Below are 19,200 nucleotides of genomic sequence, written 5' to 3' on the forward strand. Positions count from 1 at the left end.
GAGCATTAGGATATTTACCAGAAATCACAAATACATGCGAACTAACATCTGGGATACACTGTTTACTGTCCTATGGGGTTTTTACCTTTTTATTTTGCAGAGGACCTGACGGAGGGGTTTGTACTCTTATTCCAAATTGCCATTAAGACATAGCTAGGTAAGTTTTGGGGGAAAAAACTGTGTGTGAAGCACATTCTTTTATAAATAAGGTAAAAGTATATTTGAGAAAGGTATTTTCATACATTATTGCTGAGTAGCCACCTTTACTTTCCTGCTCTACAAAGATTGTTAAAAGTTGTGTAACTTACACAAATTTTTTTTTGGAGGAAGTTTTAGTATATTCAGCAACTGTATTCCATTGAGTCTAAGATACATTTTTTTGCACATTTTAACATTTCTGAGATGGGGATCATCTTATAATTGACTGGAGATATTTTTTTCTTTCTTATTGTTATATAAAAAGGGTTATCTTTCAGGCTGGGCGCGGTGGCTCATGCCTGTAATCCCAGCACTTTGGGAGGCTGAGGCGGGCAGATCACCTGAGGTCAGGAGTTCGAGACCAGCCTGGCCAACATGGTGAAACCCTGTCTCTACTAAAAATACAAAAAGCCAGGCATGGTGGCGGGCGCCTGTAATCCCAGCTACTTGGGAGGCTGAAGCAGGAGAATCGCTTGAACCCGGGAGGTGGAGGTTGCAGTGAGCCAAGATCCCACCACTGCACTCCAGCCTGGACAACAGAATGAGACTCCGTCTCAAAAAAAAAAAAAGGGGGGTGGGGCGGGGAGGATCTTTCTATTGATCAGACAAGATATATCACTGATTCTAAAACCCATTGAGTGAAATGCTGATGAATAGAAAGGTCAGGAAATCTCAGTGGGAAGGTAAAATGGCACAGTGACTGTGGAAAACAGTATAGCGATTCCACACATGCAAAAAATAAATATAGAATTACTGTATATTACAGTTATTCTTCTTCTGGGCATATACCCAAAATAATGGAAAACAAGAACTCAAACAGGTTTTTGTATACTCATGTTCACAGAAGCATTATTCACAATAGGCAAAAGGTGAAAGTGACCCAGGTGTCTGTTGACAGATAAGTGAATAAACACAATGCGGTATACAAGCACACACACATAGATGCATAGAATATTCAGCCTTAAAAAGAAATTCTGACACATGCTACCACATGGACATTATGTTAGATAATTTTTTTTTTTGAGACAGAGTCTTGCTCTGTCACCCAGGGTTGGAGTGCAGTGGTGTGATCTCAGCTCACGGTAACCTCAGTCTCCCAGGTTAAAGCGATTCTCATGCTTCAGCCTCCCGAGTAGCTGGGATTATAGGCACATGCCACCACACTCGGCTAATTTTTATATTTTTAGTAGAGACGGGGTTTAACTCCTGACCTCAAGTGATCCGCCTGTCTCAGCCTCCCAAAGTGCTGGGATCACAGGCATGAACCACCATGCCCGGCGGATAGATATTTTCATACAGTTATATTAACCAGTCCTTCCTCTGTCTAGCAGTGGGGTCCAATGTGGCCAGAATCCAGAATAGTGCCCACAATGGCTGCAAAAGCTGCAATTGATTTTCCTAGTGGGTGAAGAATAGTGATTAAAGCCCTGACCTTAGACAATGTAGCTATCTCCATCAAAACTCCTCATCCATCCGTTATAAGTTTGCATGAAATGATTTTAAACTCATAGAGCTGGGACCTTAGACATCAATTATTCCAGTGCAATTCCTCCACTTTCCAGACTAGAGAAAAGAGGCATAGGTGTCAGCCACAGAGCCACAACTGGAGTCTGGATTTATCTACCTATCAGTGTGGTGTTTTTTCCTCTAGACACTGCCTTTTGTACTTGCTTTCCTTTAATTTTTGAGGTAGAACATATGGATTGTCTGAACTTCCAGCACTAATTTTAGAGTGTGAGGGTGGTGAGAACTAACCTGACCAGGAGAGCAGCAGAAGGCTTAGAGCTGCCTAAGTGCACTAGTGCCCGGGAGAAGCACTCCAGAAAACAGGAGGAAGAGTCAGAAGGGAAAGTCAGAAGTGAGGAAGAGTCAGAAGGGAAATAGGCAAAGATAATCTTTGCCTATTTCAAACTACTGCTGCGGATGGGGAGGGCGTAGTACTGCCCTGAGGAAAAAGGAAGAAACTTTCTTTCAAGAGCTTAGCCTAGAAGTGGCCATCTAGTCTAAAGCTAGTCTTTCTAGCCTGAGTGCTTTTGGTACTAGGATCAGCTAAAAGAGTTTTCAATTGAATTTCATGTATTGTCAATTCTGAAAAACAGTTTAGAATTTACTGCATGTTCTATTGCAATGACTACTGAAACAATAATGGATTATAAGGCTGGGCACGGTGGTTCACACCTGTAATCCCAGCACTTTAGGAGGCAGAGGCGGGTGGATCACCTGAGCTCAGGAGTTCAAGACCAGCCTGGGCAACATGGTGAAACCCTGTCTTTACAAAAAATACAAAAACTAGCTGGGCACAGTGGCCTGTGCATGTAGTCCCAGCTACTCAGGAGGCTGAGGCAGGAGAATCGCTTGAACCTGGGAGGCACAGGTTGCAGTGAACTCAGATGGTGCCATTGCACTCCAGCCTGGGCAACGGAGTGAGACCTGTCTTTTAAAAAAAGGATTATAAGATAAATCTCAGCAGTAAAAAGTCATTCTCATATGGCTCACATTCTGTGACCCAGTTAAAAATAAAAAAGTAAAAGATAGGCTCAAGCTTCCTATATTATGCTAAAAATAATATTTTAACTAATTCATCCTATTGAATAAACATTTATTGGAGAAATGAATAAGTGAATAAATAAAGGAATAAACATAAGGAGAACAATGAGAAAAAGGGGCTAAGGACAGAAACTTGGGAAAGATATGTATTTATATAAAGGCAGAGAGGAAAATCAAGATGGGGAAGGAGAACTGGTGAGAATGGTATCACAGATGTTAAGAGGAAATGACCAACAGTGTTACATGCTTTAGAGGAAGTTTAGTAAAATAAAGATTAAAAAAAAAACAACAACAAAAACATGAGAAACTGATGAATATAAGAGGTCACTGGTGATTTCTGAAATTATTAGAGAACAGGTGAGTAGAATAAAACAAAAGGCCCTGACTATAAATCTTCAAGGTTGGAAAGGAGAGCAATAAAATAGTCACTTGGGCTGGGTGTGGTGGTTCATACTTATAATCTGAGCACTTTGGGAAGCCAAGGCAGGAGGACTGCTTGAGCCCAGGAGTTTAAGATCAGCCTGGGCAATATAGGGTGACTCTGCTTCTACAAAAAATTAAAAAAAAAAAAAAAACTGGCCAGGTATGATGGTGCATGCATGTAGTCCCAGCTACTTGGGAGGCTGAGATGGGAGGATCGCTTGAGCTTGGGAGTTTGAGGCTGCAGCAAACTATGATCATGCCGTGACACCCCAGCCTGGGTGACACAGAGAGACACTGTCAAAAAAAAAAAAAAGCCACTTGAAGAGTTATTACATCTAAATTTATTGTTTAATGAATCTCAACAGGGCTCAACTAGATGAACGGTGAGATTTTATCCAATCCTTTGATTCTTGAGAATTAGAAGGGTCCCAAGTACACTAAAAGGGAAACTCCAATGGAGGAGAGAGAGGAAAAAGAAAGATCACTAGTAGACTGAGGACTCTGAGATACGTCTGGTAGTCAATATGGTCCCCATTTCTAAGGCATGGTTAGACCCTGAAAACATCATAAAAAGCAAATATCTAGAATTTATATTAAACAGCAAGATCCCTGATGATATCATCAGATATAACATATGAGGAAAAAGCAGCTTGGTTCTGCAAGGAAGACTCAGGACTTCCTATTTTTATGGTGAGGGGAGGATGAGTGGGGAGAGCTCTTTAAACTATTCTGCTAATACTAGCTCTGTAGAGTACTGATAGCTGTTACTTGGGGGGAATTGGGGAAATGCTGGGTAAACAAAATTAAACAAGGTTTTCCTTTTCTTCTTTTTTTTTTTTTTTAAAAAAAAAAAACAGGATTTGGCAGGATTTTAAACTGTGACTCCATGAAGGGAATTCGGTATACAGCATTTGTAAACCCAGTTTCACTGAGTATTTTAAAAGAAAGCAGTTGTAGAATATATTTTGGAAAATGATGATTTAAGATCATCAAAAATCCTATGAAAGAATTCCAACCAAAATGTTAGATACGAGTTCTAAATTTCATTTTAAAGAATCAATATGTCAGTATGTTCAATTCTTTGCCTTCTACTTTTAAACTTAACTTCCTCATAAAGCAACCTTTTTCGATTACTGCTCCACCCTGACTCATTCCAGTTACCAGCTCCGCCCTGACTCATTCCAATTATGTGATACCTGCTCCGCCCTGACTCATTCTCCACCCTGCATAACCATTTTTCCCACCAAACCACTCACCCTGTCACTCTCTTTAAATTAGCCAATCGGAATTAGTTTAGCCTGTGCGGTCTAACCCTAGCCAATAGGGGAAGGACGCAGCAGCAGGGGCCACGTGCGTCAGGGATAAGAACCCCTTCCCTTCCCTTGTCCAAGTGTGAGCTCACCATTGCTCCATCTGTAAGGGTGCACCCTTCTATAGAAGTAACTTGCCTTGCTGAGAAAAAGACAATTTTATATTTGAGTGCTATTTCTTTTGCGGCACTGAAACTTTATTTATAACAAAAAGATCATTTAAAAAAATTTTTTTTAAATGTTCTTAGACAGGATCCTGCTCTGTTGCCTAGGCTGTGCAGTGGCACAATCATAGTTTACTGCAGCCCTGAACTCCTGGGCTCAAGCGATCCTCCTGCCTCAGCCTTCCAAGTAGTTGGGACTACAGGCACGCATCACCGCACCCAGCTAATTTTTAATTTTTTTTTTGTAGAGGCAGGGTTTCACTATGTTGTCCAAGCTGGTCTTGGACTCCTGCTTCCTTCTGCCTCCACCTCTCAAAATGCTGGGATTACAGGCATAAGCCATGACACCCAGCCCAAAAGATCATTTTAAAATTTACTTATGGATTTTTATTTCTTGACTTATGGTTGTTTTCATAATCTGAAAGGCAATTTTTCTAAAAATAATTTTAAATGATAGATAAAATATTTTAAAATCTTTAATACAATGCAATAAATTGGCAAGAAAGCAAGGAATATGCAGACCAAAATATAAGTAGAAACTTGGAAAGATAAACAGAGCACTGAAGCTAAATTTTAACTTAGGAACTGGTGGTGAGCAAATTTTAGTATTAGTTGTGAACTCAAGAGACTCAAGGGATAGGACAAAAAGACTAGCACTTGCTAAAGGGAGGAAGTCCATTAGAAGAATATAAACCAAAAATGAAATCCTGAGCCCTACAACCAAATGAATAGACCCCTGGCCAAAGGGATCCCAGCGAAACCTGAAAAACTGAATTCCTGGCCATAACAGGAAGGGAGGTCAGACACGCCCCATTACGCCCTCTCCCTTTTGGTGTTTAGGTAAAATTACAGATCTGACAAAACAGACTCTTTGTGGCAATAAGATACCAGATTATAAACACGACCTAAGGCCATGCAAGGCAGGGGTTAAGTCATACCCTATAAACCATAAAATCTCATTAAATGGGTTTTTTTTAAATTTTTATATTTTGAGACAGGGTCTCACTCTGGAGGCTGGAGTGCTGTGGTGCAGTGTGCGCTCACTGCAGCTGCGACCTCCTGGGCTCAGGTGATCCTCCCACCTCAGCCTCCTGAATAGCTGGGAATACAGGCATGTGCTACCACGCCCAGGTAATTTTTGTATTTTTTGTAGAGATGGGGTTTCACCTTACTGGCCAGGATGGAATCAAACTCCTGAACTCAAGTGATCCTCCCACATTTGGCCTCCCAAAGTGCTGGGATCATAGGCATGAAAACAGGTTTTTAAAATTATCCCAGCATAAAGCAGCTTCCTTTCCAACCTGATTCTGATACAGCATCACATGATAGATAGAAGACCCTGAAGGAAATCAAAATATTTTTCTTTGACATATTGTGAAATGGCCCTGCAAAGTCATCTGTTGTGGGAGAAATCTGCATCTGTAAAGAATCTCCATTAATGCAGCCAGGCCTTCCCTTTCTAGGACTTTCTCAGCTGTGGGAGAGATTAGCTGGGAGTCTGACACTTTTATGGTCTAAAAAGAGACATGTACCATCTATTCTCTCTGAGGGCTACTACCTATGAGGCTTCATCTACATAATAAGGGCTTTGACCTCCACAACTCCCTTATCTTGACTCAAGCATTTCTTTCTACTCTACTGACATCAAGTATTTATACAAAGCTTAACTCTTTCAATCAGTAGCCAATCAGAAAATCTTTGAATCCACCTATGACCTGTAAGCCACCACCCCACAAGATATCCCACCTCTTTAGGACGAACCAAGGTACACCTTCCATGTATTGATTTATGATTTTACCTACAATTTCTGTCTCCCTAGAATATATAAAATTAAACTGCAACCCAACTACCGGGCTGTGGTCACTCCTAGTGGCTCAGAATAAGCCTCTTTAAAATATTTTACAGATTTGATTTTTCAATTAACAAGAATGACAATAATCCTGGGATCTCTAAAGCCATCTATGACACCAGATAGAAAGTCTGAGATGTAAGAAGATAACTGAGCCAAAAAAGAGATAAATATGTAGGTAAATCTAAACACACATTGACTGTATAAAACAATGACAATACTGTCTTTTGATAGCAAAGAAAGTTAAGATACAACTAAACTATACAACCATGGTAGCATAGACTTTCTAAGGGAGTGGATTGGAGTTAGATTTTGATAGATTTTGATAAATTAAGTAAGCCTTTAAGAATTTCTGTATTATCATGAAAGAAACAGAAATAGAGTGGGTTGCAACTTCCAAACTAGTGGAGGAAAAAATGGAATAATAGGAAAATAAAAAAAAAAAACAACAAACCTGAACCCAAGGGAAAACAAAAAAGAAGTGGAAAAAGAAACTCAGAAAAGGGAAACAATTGGCCGTGCGCGGTGACTCACGCCTGTAATCCCAGCACTTTGGGAGGCTGAGGCAGGCGGATCACGAGGTCAGGAGATCAAGACCATCCTGGCTAACACAGTGAAACCCCGTCTCTACTAAAAAATACAAAAAATTAGCCAGGTGTGGTGGCAGGCATCTGTAGTCCCAGCTACTAGGGAGGCTGAGGCAGGAGAAGGGCGTGAACCCGGGAGGCAGAGCTTGCAGTGAGCCAAGATCGTGCCACTGCACACCAGCCTGGGCGACAGAGCAAGATTCCGTCTCAAAAAAAAAGAAAAAGAAAAGGGAAACAATCAGAAAAAGAAAAAAAATAAGATGGTAGGAATAAATGTGTTAGTGGTGGCAAATATCTGAGTCTCACAGCACCAAATATGTTACCAGTCAAGGTATCCAAGGTATTACTGATGGTGAATCCATATGCGTCTGCAGCAAGCTCAATTCTTGCCTCCTCAGAAGAAAGAATTGGACTGAGGGGCATAAGGCATAAAAAGAGACCGAGGCAAGTTTCAGAGCAGGAGTGGAAGTTTATTTTAAAAAGCTTTAGAACGGGAAAGAAATGAAATAATGCTTGGAAGAGACCCAAGCGGGCACGTGAAGGTCAAGTGCCATTTTAACCTTGATCCTAGGACTTTATTTATACGCTGGCCCCTTTCCCATGATTCTTCCCTTAGGCTGGGCTACTCATAAGTGCAGTGCCCTCCTTACACTTGGGAGGTGAGCATGCGCAGTGTGTTTAGGAAGTTGTATGCACGCCCATCTGTGGCTTTCTTCCCTTTTTGGGTGGTGTGCCCCTGGGAGGTCATACTCTGCCATTTTGTCTCTTAATGCTCATGCCCAGGAAGTTGCTTCTCCCTGGTGCCTGCATTCAATTAACACTTTAGTGTACCAGGTGTGGACAATCAGGAAATGGACTCTCCCTGGTGCCAGCTGCCAATTTATCACTTTTAGAGAGGCAAAGTGATAACTGCCCAACTATCACCTGACATTCCTAGAGGGTGGGGGACAGCTTTCTCCTGCCCCGCTCATGCCTGTCTAACTACTTGTAACAAATACAAATACAATAACACAAATGGACCAAATGTTCTGGTTAAAAAAACAAAGATTGACACTGAATCTAAAAACAGAATCTAAATATTTGTTGCTTATAAACAACATATATATATATAAAACTTAAGGATACACGAAATTTAAAGGATGAAAAAATATGTACCAGGCAAATACCAAAAGAAGTTGGGGTAGCTATATTAATAATCAGAATATAAAATACTCTTTAAGGCAAAATGCATTACTAGGGATAAAATGAAGCACTACATAATAATAAATAGCTCAATCTACCAGAAAGCTATAACAATTTAAATGTATATAAACCTAATAACTTAGCCTCAAAGTATACAAAGCAAAAACTGACAGATGTAAAAGGAAAAACAGATAAATTTACAATCATGCTAAAATATTTTAATATACCTCTCTCAGTAACTGATAGTTCAAGCAGGTAGAAAAATCAGTCATCATATTGAAGATTAAAAGAAATACTGTAAACGTTAGAGCTAATAGATATGTATAGAACACTGTATACAAAAACTTGCTTGCTCTAATGGACACTGCACTTTCTAACACTGTACCCAGAACTGTTCACATGGATTTAAAAAAATTGACCTCATACTGGTCCATAAAATAAGTATCAGGGCTGGGTATGGTGGCTCACACCTATAATCACAGAACTTTGGGAGGCCGAGGTGAGAGGATTGCTTGAGCTCAGGAGTTCAAGACCAGCCTGAGTGATAGTAAGAGCTCATCTCTACAAATTATTAAAAATTAGTTGGGTGTGGTGTCATGTGCCTGTACTCCCAGATACTTGGGAAGCAGAGATGGGAGAATCACTTGAGCCGAGCAGGTGGAGGCTACAGTGAGCCATGATTGTATCACGTGGCCTTCCAGCCTGGGTGACAAAGCAAGACCCTGTCTCAAGAACAAAACAAAACAAAAAACTATCAGTAAATTTCAAAATGTTTTGAATCATATAGACAGAGTTGTCAGCTCACAATGCAATTAAGTTAGAAATCATTAATGCATGTAAAATACTTAAAATTGTACCTGGTACATAGAAAGTACTCAATAAATGTTATTATCACTGAGGCTAGGAAATGCTTAGCATATCACACTCTATTGTGATTATCTATTTACTTGTATGTCTCTTCACTAGATTATAAGCAATTTAATGGCATTTTTATTAAGAAGCAGTTATCAATATTTATGGCAAGTTGTTGAATGAGTGATATGCCTTTTTGAATGTCATACAAAGCTGAAAGAACAGTAGAACAAATGATCTTACTAGGTCTTGGATTTCCAGAATTAACATTGAGCGTAATCAGGATTTTCCTTTGAATAACGATTTTCATTTACTCAACAAATATTTATTGAGTATCTACTATGTGCCAGGCATGCTGTAGCTAATGAACTCAGGAATCTCTTTATCCCAGGAGGAAATAGGGATGACAAATAAGAACACATTTTAAAGGGATGAGATAAATTCATGGCTGAATAAGATACATCCTTAAATTAGAGGACAATGATGTTCTTTTATGATGTCTCTGTGGGGACCTTTGTTGGAGCCCAGTTACTGGTTAGATAGATTTTTAAGTCAGAACAAGTAATCTTTTGTTTTAAATTCAAGAACATGAGTTTTACATATAAAAAGAGTGACTGTTAAAACTCAGTAGCAGCTCTCCCTCAGTCAAACCTCTGGAAATGAATGTGTGTGAGAAAGGAGAGGGAGAAAAGAAATATGAGTCAATGAGAACTTCCTTCAAAGAGAATATTAAAATCAACTAAAATATTACTTTGAAGGCAGTCATTACCTTGGAGTCGTGTTTAGGTTTTTATTTTAAAATACAGTCAGGCCATGTAGGAAAACACCGCACCTTTTTCCTATGTGGTATCTCTGCAAGGTCTCCATCCTCTCTATGGATTATATATAATAATCCCAGAATGCAGCAAAAAGTATGAATCATCTTTTTCTTCCTGACTTATTCCTCACCCCCTTAGGACACTGCTATGCACAAGAATGTCATCTGTGTCCTAGCACATCTGAATTTCTTTAACAGAAATGCCTTGCATGTTTCTGAAGACTGTCATGAGGCCCAAGGCAATAAAGTTCAACAGACTTGAGCTGTAATCTTCTCCCAAGGAAATGGTTGGGATGCCAAGATGCCTTTTGACTTTGATTTCACAGCAGGGCTTCATTTGTAATGACACTGTCCAAACTTTAAATGACAACAGCTGTGATATGAAGCCCTACACACTCATTTATAATAATTTTCCACAAATTAAAAAAATTAAACAATGGGGAATTTCAATCCATGACCAATTAGCAGGGAACAGGCAATCATAAAACATTTAGACTAGTGGGCACTATTTATTATCTTACAAAATGTTTACTCATTGTAGTGCATGTCTCAAACCTGTGTGCTGCTCAAATGCTGATTGCAAAATATAAATAAAAAATTCTTTGCAAATCACGTTAGAGACATTCTAAGTTAATTAGGTTGAAAGAGGGAAAAAATTTACAACAATAAGTCTACAACTATTGACACAGCAACCGCATTCCAGAATTGTGTGGTTATCTGTTGGGGAATCAGTCCATAAATACACAATCTGAAGTCCCCTGTGCTTTGGCCAAATAATAGCATTGTAGTAATAAACATACCAGACATTTTATAAACTTGCAAGGTCTTGAATACTGATACATGTTTTATTCTGAACTTTGCTTTGTAATTTACCTTTAATTTTCCTGCTACAATTGAAGAGTGAGCCCTGCAATCTTAATTTCCCATTATCCTCAATTACTTCGTACTTTTAACCTAGATACCTTTGAACTGTTGTTGCCAACATTCCAGTTTGATAAAACTCTGGAATCTCTAAAAAATGTTATATTTAAACATTAAAGAAAAAACTAGATTGAAAGGAACAATGTGTTACAGAACTGACTTTCCTTTAGAGTTTAGATTAGACACAGCTCAGAAAAAAGTTTTTTTGAATTGCCCAAAACACTGAAAACATTTGCATCTTCTACATAAGGACAAAAATTAAAAACACAAATTCCTCTCTGTATCACATTACTCTCCTATTCAAAAATTCAGCTATTTTCTGACCATTATAGAATAATGACCAAACTCTTCTGCCAGGCTTATTAGCCCTTCTCGGTACGGATCCACCTCTCTACCCACCCGACCATATGGGCCCCTGCCACAAGCTGCTGCTTTAGTCAACCTATTTTATTTATCACCTTCTATTCCACATCATACTTACTCCTACCATATCTAATACGGTTGAGGAAGCCCATCCATGCTTTGGTTTGTCATTTACATGCTTTCTCCTTGGTATTTTCATATGCATGCCCCCATATTTCTCCCTTCTTTCCAAGTACAATGTTAAGCAAAAAATAGGCAAAAGGATTTTTTTATTACAGTTTCAGCTTCAAGTTATATTTTAACATTAAATAAACCTACAAAACCATAAAGGATGTACCACAGTTTTGAATACCACTGTTATTTATATGCACAATGACTCCCATTGCAATAGAAGGTGAATGCTAGGCTTGACAAATAATATCAAGCTTTATTTTAAGTTATTTGAGTGAATGGACCAAGTCACTTTTAACTTTATATGCCTGGAAACTAGAACACTGCACCTGGCATATGGTAATAATTAGTTAGCACTTATTAAGTGTTTACTAAGTATCACACATATTTGAAGTATGAATTTACAGATATTATTTCATTTAATCTTCACAACATCTCGATTAGATAGGTACTGTAATTATGTCCTTTTTGTTGATAATGAAACTGAGCCTCTCAGAGGTTAAATTATTTGCTTGCGATTATATAGCCACAAATGGCAGAGCCAGAATTTGAACCTGGATAGTCTTACTCCAGTATTTGTGCTTGAAACCTCAACGTTCTCTTGCCTCTCAAGTAAGATACTGAACTGAATATAAAAATGGAGTCTGTGGAAACATAATTCATGAAAAAGAAACCTTCTAGTGAATTATAAATAATATCCTCAAGAGAGTTTGAAACTATACATCTATGAAAAAGCAATTAAAAACATAATTGTTACAATTAAAATGCAATGGAAGGGCTTGAAGAAAATTTTTTTCTTATGTGTTCATTTTATCTCTATATTTAGGAATTTAAAAACATTACAAAATATAGAGGATGAAGTTAAAGCTTCTAAAATATACCTAACAGGAGTACTGGAAATTGTGAATAGAGAAGGCAGATGGGGGGCTTGGTGCGGTGGCTCACGCCTGTAATCCCAGCACTTTGGGAGGCCGAGGCGGGTAGATCACGAGGTCAGGAGATCGAGACCATCCTGGCTAACACGGTGAAACCCCGTCTCTACTAAAAATGCAAAAAAAATTAGCCAGGCGTGGTGGCGGGCGCCTGTAGTCCCAGCTACTCAGGAGGCTGAGGCAGGAGAATGGCGTGAACCCGGGAGGCGGAGCTTGCAGTGAGCCGAGATCACGCTACTGCACTCCAGCCTAGGCGACAGAGCGAGACTCCGTCTCAAAAAAAAAAAGTCTTATCTTTATTTAAATTTTTGGCCCAAATGCCATCTGTTCATAATCTTGTTGTTGCTGTTGTTGTTGTTTTAGAAAGGGCAGGGTCTCACTCTGTCCCCCAGGCTGAAGTGCGGTGGTGTGATTTTGGCTCACTGTAGCCTTGACCTCCCGAGTTCAAGCGATCCTCCCAAGCAGCTGGGACTACAGGCATGTGCCACTGCGCATGGCTAATTTTTTTTTTTTTTTTTGTAAAGATGAGGTTCCGCCACGTTGCTCAGGCTGGTCTTGAACTCCTGAGCTCAAGCGATCCTCTCACCTCAGCCTCCCAAAGTGCTGGGATTACAGATGTGAGCCATCATACCCAGCCTATTCTTTACTTTGTATTAAAATTATGTATACTGCATATCCTCCCTAATTAGTCATAAGGCCTTTTGAGGGCAATGATTGTGTTATACATAATAGATGTTCAGTGAATATTACTAAACAAAAGAAAGATTACTCTAAAAATGAAAAGAAAGCTATTTTACAAATACAGCTAAAAGAGAAAATAAAGTATTAGTATAGTGATTCCTTTTTATGAAATCACTTCTCAAATGTGCAGTTTTATTCTAAGGAACTCACTTTAGCCTAACCACTTATTTTGGAAGGTTTTTGTTTTCTATTCTGTTGGTTTTGTATTTACCCCCATACTTTCTCTCTTTTTTTTTTCCTTTTGACCTTAGAAGGAAGGTAAAAAAAACCTGACTTACAATATAAGATACCCTGAGGCGGCTGGGCGCGGTGGCTTACGCCTGTAATCCCAGCACTTTGGGAGGCCGAGGCGGGTGGATCATGAGGTCAGGAGATCGAGACCATCCTGGCTAACACAGTGAAACCCCACCTCTACTAAAAATACAAAAATTAGCCGGGCGTGGTGGCGGGCACCTGTAGTCCCAGCTACTCGGGAGGCTGAGGCAGGAGAATGGCATGAACCCGGGAGGTGGAGCTTGCGGTGAGCCGAGATTGCGCCACTGCACTCCAGCCTGGGTGACAGAGCGAGACTCTGTCTCAAAAAAAAAAAAAAAAAAGATACCCTGACGACTTTGTGGTAAAAACACTCAAATCTTAGTGAGAAGTTAAGTTGTAAACATCTGTAGTCTGTGGGTTTATTTTCAGAAGTTAACCTACTGAAACCTAACCTTCTATAGCTCAGAGTCTTCAATAACTATTGGAATAGTATCTAGGCCTAGGACTTCCCATCAAAAAATATTGCCATTCCTGACATGCCATTCCTGGCATGGCAGATCAAAGAAGAAATGATATATATTTTAATATATGATGCTGAGGCTGTTGGGCAGAAATATGGAAAAATAAAATAAAATTGGACTCTTACTTCAAACTACATGCAAAATCAGTTCCACGTGGGTGAAGGTTAGATGGTAACATAAAAAAATGTGTTCATGACTTCAGGTTAGGGGAACATTTCTTATGATACAAAAAAGCACAGTCACCGAGAAAAAGACTAATAAATTCAACTATAGTCACGTGGCCTTATAATGATGTTTTGGTCAATGATGGACTGCATATATGATGGTGGTCACATATGACTATAATGGAGCTGAAAAATTCTTATTGCCTAGTGACATTTTAGCCATTGTAACATCCAAGAGAGCACAGTGTAACACATTACTCAGACATTTGGGCTGATGTTGGTGTAAACAAACCTACTGTGCTGCCAGTCTCATAAAAATATAGCACATACAATTTGTACAGTACATAATACTGAATGATAATAAATGAGTATGTTACTGGCTTATGTATTTACTACACTATACTTTTAATCATTATTTTAGAGTACACTTCTACTTATTAAAAAAAATAGCTAATGGTAAAATAGCCCAAGGCAAGTCCTTCAGTAGGTATTCTAGAAGGCACTGTTATCACAGGAGATGACAGCTCCATGTGTGTTACTGCCCCTGAAGAACTTCCAGTGAGACAAGATGTGGTGGTGGAAGACAGTGATATGGATGATCCTGACCCTGTGTAGGTCTAGGCTAATGTGTGGATTTGTGTCTTCATTTTTAATGAACAAGTTTAAAAAGTAAAAAAAAAACAACTTTTTTTTACTTTTTTCTACTTTTCTATTAAAAATAGAAAACACAGCTGGGGCTGGGTACGGTGGCTCACACCTGTAATCCCAGCACCATGGGAGGCCAAAGCAGGTGGATCATGAGGTCAGGAGATTGAGACCATTTGGCCAACATGGTGAAAACTTGTCTCTACTAAAATACAAAAAAAAAAAAAAAAAAATTAGCTGGGCATGGTGGTGCACGCCTGTAGTCCCAGCTACTCAGGAGGCTGAGGCAGGGGAATTGCTTGAACCTGGGAGGAAGAGGTTGCAGTGAGCTGAGATCGCCCCACTGCACTCCAGCCTGGTGACACAGCAAGACTCCATCTCAAAAAAACAAAAAAAACAAAAAAAACACGACTGGGCACGGTGGCTCATGCCTGTAATCCCAGAACTTTGGGAGGCCGAGTCAGGTGGATCATGAGGTCAGGAGTTCAAGACCAGCCTGGCCAAGATTGGTGAAACCCCGTCTCTACTAAAAATACAAAAAATTAGTCGGGTGTGGTGGTGGGTGCCTGTAATCCCAGCTACTCAGGAGGCTGAGGCGGAGAATTACTTGAACCTGGGAGGTGGAAGTTTCAAGGAGGCAGAAGTTTCAGTGAGCCAAGATCATGCCAGTGCACTCCAGCCTAGGTGACAGAGCGAGACTCTGTCTCAAAAAAAAAAAAAAATTGAAAACACTTATAAAGATATAATGAAAGAAAATATTTTTGTATGGCTATACAATACCGTGGCTTTTAAGCTAAGTGTTATTACAAAAGAGTCAAATAGTTTAAAAAATTAAAAATTTTGTAAAGCAAAAAAGTTATAGCAAGCTAAGTTTAATGTATTTTTGAAGAAATTAAAAAAATAAATTCAGTGTAGTCTAAATGTAAAGTGTTTATAAAGTCTACAGTAGCATACAGTGATGTCCTAGACCTTCACATTCACTCACCACTCACTGACTCACCCAGAACAACTTTCAGTCCTGCAAGCTCCATTCACGGTAATTGTCCTATACAGGTGTACCATTCTTAATCTTTTATACTGTATTTTTGCTTTACCATTTCTATGTGTAGATATGTTTAGATATACAAATACTTACCATTGTGTTACAACTGCCTACAGTATTCAGTATAGTAATGTGCTGTACAGATTTGTAACCTTGGAGCGATAGGCTATACCATATAACCTAGGCGTGGAATACGCTAACCAAGCTTGTCCAACACGCGGCCCACAGGCCACATGCAGCCCAGGACAGCTTTCAATGTGCCCAACACAATTCATAAACTTTTTAAAAACACTATAAATTTTTTTTGTTATTTTTTAGCTGGGTGCGGTGGCTCACGCCTGTAATCCCAGCACTTTGGGAGGCTAAGGCAGGCAAATCACAAGGTTAGGAGTTCAAGACCAGCCTGGCCAACATGGTGAAACCCCATCTCTACTAAAAATACAAAAATTAGCTGGGCATAGTGGCGGGTGCCTGTAATCTCAGCTACTCGGGAGGCTGAGGCAGAATAGCTTGAACCTGGGATGCGGAGGTTGCAGTGAGCCGAGATCACTCCACTGCACTCTATAAATTTTTTTTGTTATTTTTTAGCTGGGTGCGGTGGCTCACGCCTGTAATTCCAGCACTTTGGAAGGCTAAGGCAGGCGAATCACAAGGTCAGGAGTTCAAGACCAGCCTGGCCAACATGGTGAAACCCCATCTCTACTAAAAATACAAAAATTAGCTGGGTGTAGTGGCAGGTGCCTGTAGTCTCAGCTACTTGGGAGGCTGAGGCAGAATAGCTTGAACCTGGGATGCGGAGGTTGCAGTGAGCCGAGATCACTCCACTGCACTCCAGCCTGGGCAAACATAGCAAGACTCCGTCTCAAAAGAAAAAAATTCTAATTTTTAGCTCATTGGCTATTTTTAGTGTATTTTATCTGTGGCCCACCACAATTCTTCTTCCAATGTGGCCCAGGGAAGCCAAAAGATTGGACATTCCTGGTACCATCTACAGTACACTCCTACTTATTTTAAAAAATTAGTTTGCCTAAGTAGACAACAACAAAATTGTCAAGCTACACATTTCTCAGCATGTATCCCCACTGTCAATTTAAAAATTTATAAAATGGCATCATGAAGAGTCAAATGACAAGTCACTGCATATTGCATACAAGAAGACATTTGTAAAACATATAACTGTTATCCAGACTATATAAAGAATTACTATAAAACATTAAGAACAAAAGAGGTAACTCAGAAAAAGTTGGGTAAAAATGTAAACAGGTACTTCAAAAAAGAGAAAACCGTGCTGGGTGTGGTGGTTCACACCCGTAACCCCATTTTGGGAGGCTGACAGGGGTTGATGGCTTGAGCCCAGGAGTTCAAGACCAGCCTGGGCAACATGGTGAAACCCTGTTTCTATGAAAAATACAAAAATTACCTCGGTGTGGTGGCATGTGCCTGTAGTCTCAGCTATTCAGGAGGTTGAGGTGGGAGGACCATTTGAGTGGAGATTGCAGTGGGCTGAGATCGCGCCACTGCACTCCAGCCTGGGCGACAGGGCGAGACTCTGTCTCAAACAAACAAACAAAATGAGAAAACTAGAATGTCCAAGAGACATGAAAAATTGCTCAACTTCAGTAGTAAATGCAAATTATAATCACAAAGAGATAGCATTACACAGCCACCAGATTGGGAAAAATTAAAAAGGCTGACAAGTGTTGATAAGGATGTGAAACAATAATGGAGTTTCTTGTGGGAATGAGACTAGTATAATTACTTAGAAAAAAACATTTGACCTCATTTAATAAAGTTGAACATATGCATATCCTATGACCTAGCAATTCCATTCCTAGGTATATATTCTAACACTTATATACAAGTGTACTAGAATTGCATGGCAATGATGTTTTTTAACAGAGTTGTTTAAAATAGCTGAGATTAAAAAAATAAAATAAAATAAAATAAAATAAAATAAAATAAAATAGCTGAGATGTGGAAAAAACCAAAATGTCCACATGAATAAAATGTAGGAGTGACAGTCCAGAGGTATGGGCTCACCAGAAAACTAAGACCAAATCACAGAACTACAGAACGCTTCTCTTCCCTGACACTTTACCACAATACATTAGTAAAGGCCTACTTACAGCAGCTCCTTTTGGTTGTTGTTGTTGCTGTTGTTTAAGTAGAGACAGGGTCTCACTATGTTGCCCAGGCAGGTTTCTAATTCCTGGGCTCAAGCCATCCACCTGCTCTGGACTCCCAAAGTGCTGCGATTACAGGCATTATGAGCCACCACACCAGGCCTTATAGCAGTTCCTTTTACATAGTATATCACATTTGGCTATCAAGATAAAATTATGAGGCATACTAAAAGGCCAAAAACATAGACTGAAGAGACAGCAAGTATCAGAAACAGACTTAGATATGGAGGTATGTTGAAATTATCAGACCAGGAATTTAAAACAGCTGTGATTAATATGCTAGGGGCTCCACTGGATAAAGTAGACAGCACACAAGAATAGACGGACAATATAAGTAGAAAGATGGAAATTCCTAGAAAGAACCAAAAAGTAATGCTAGAGATCAAAAACACAGTTAACAGAAATAAAGAATGCCTTTGATGGGCTTAGTGGTAGACCGGTCATGGCTGAGGAAAGAATCTCTGAGAGCCAAGAAACAGATCTGCATAGATACAGTAAACTGATCTTTGACAAAGGAGCAAAGGCAGTAGGATGGAAGCAAAATAGTCTTTTCAACAAATGATGCTGGCCCAACTGGACATCCAAATGCAAAAGCAGAACCTGGACAGAGACTTTACACACTTCACAAAAAATATGTCAAAACGGACCAGATACCTTAGTGTAAATGCAAAACTATAAAACTCCTAGAAGGTTACACAGGGGAAAATACAGACAACCTTGGGCTTGGCAATAACTTTTTGGACACACTATCAAAAGCATGATCCATGAAAGAAATAACTGATAAGTGAGGCTTCACAAAAATCAAAATTTTCTGTTCTGTGAAAGATACCATCAAGAGAATGAAAAAATAAGCCACAGATTAAGAGAAAATATTGGCAAAATATAAATCTGTACAACACCAAGAATGAACCCTAATGTAAAATGCGCACTTTGGGTCACAATGATGTGTTAATGTAGGTTCACCAACTGTAACAAATATACCACTATGTTACAGGGTGTTTATAGTGGGGGGGGCTATAGATGTGCGGGGGGCAGGTGGTATACAGAAAATCTCTGTAACTTTTGCTCACTGTTGCTGTGAACTAAAAACTGTTTTAAAAAATAAAGTCTATTAAAAAGAAAAAGAATATAAGGCTTCAAAAATTAAAAGACAAGTGGAGAAGGATGAACTTGTGAAGATGGAGATGAAATGGCCAGAGAGACAGAAGGATATGCTAGAAATGTTTCATTATGGAAGCCAAGGAAAGAGAGTACTTGAAAAAGAAGGCCGGGTGCAGTGGCTCACGCCTGTAATCCCAGCACTTTGGGAGGCCGAGGCGGGCAGATCATGAGG

The 19,200-nt window shown here is 39.5% G+C and overlaps 1 protein-coding gene and 1 long non-coding RNA gene across 12 annotated transcripts in view, besides 1 other annotated feature; one reads left to right on the forward strand and one right to left on the reverse strand.

Annotated features, from left to right (window-relative positions):
• Positions 1-19,200, reverse strand: part of SBF2 (SET binding factor 2) — a 526,174-nt gene that overhangs the window by 117,367 nt on the left and 389,607 nt on the right. The window lies entirely within an intron of this gene.
• LOC101928008 (uncharacterized) overlaps positions 1-19,200 on the forward strand; it is a 90,122-nt gene that overhangs the window by 56,893 nt on the left and 14,029 nt on the right. The gene's annotated exons all lie outside the window — the stretch shown is intronic.
• Positions 9,974-10,558: an enhancer, noted in NCBI's record as "OCT4-NANOG-H3K27ac hESC enhancer chr11:9927555-9928139 (GRCh37/hg19 assembly coordinates)". NCBI's record gives its function as "activates a minimal SCP1, AML or CMV promoter by ChIP-STARR-seq in naive and primed H9 embryonic stem cells {active_cell/tissue: H9 hESC(naive and primed)}" and the evidence as "EXISTENCE:reporter gene assay evidence [ECO:0000049][PMID:30033119]".

This window comes from Homo sapiens, chromosome 11 (assembly GCF_000001405.40).
Source record: "Homo sapiens chromosome 11, GRCh38.p14 Primary Assembly".
Lineage (NCBI taxonomy): Eukaryota > Metazoa > Chordata > Mammalia > Primates > Hominidae > Homo > Homo sapiens.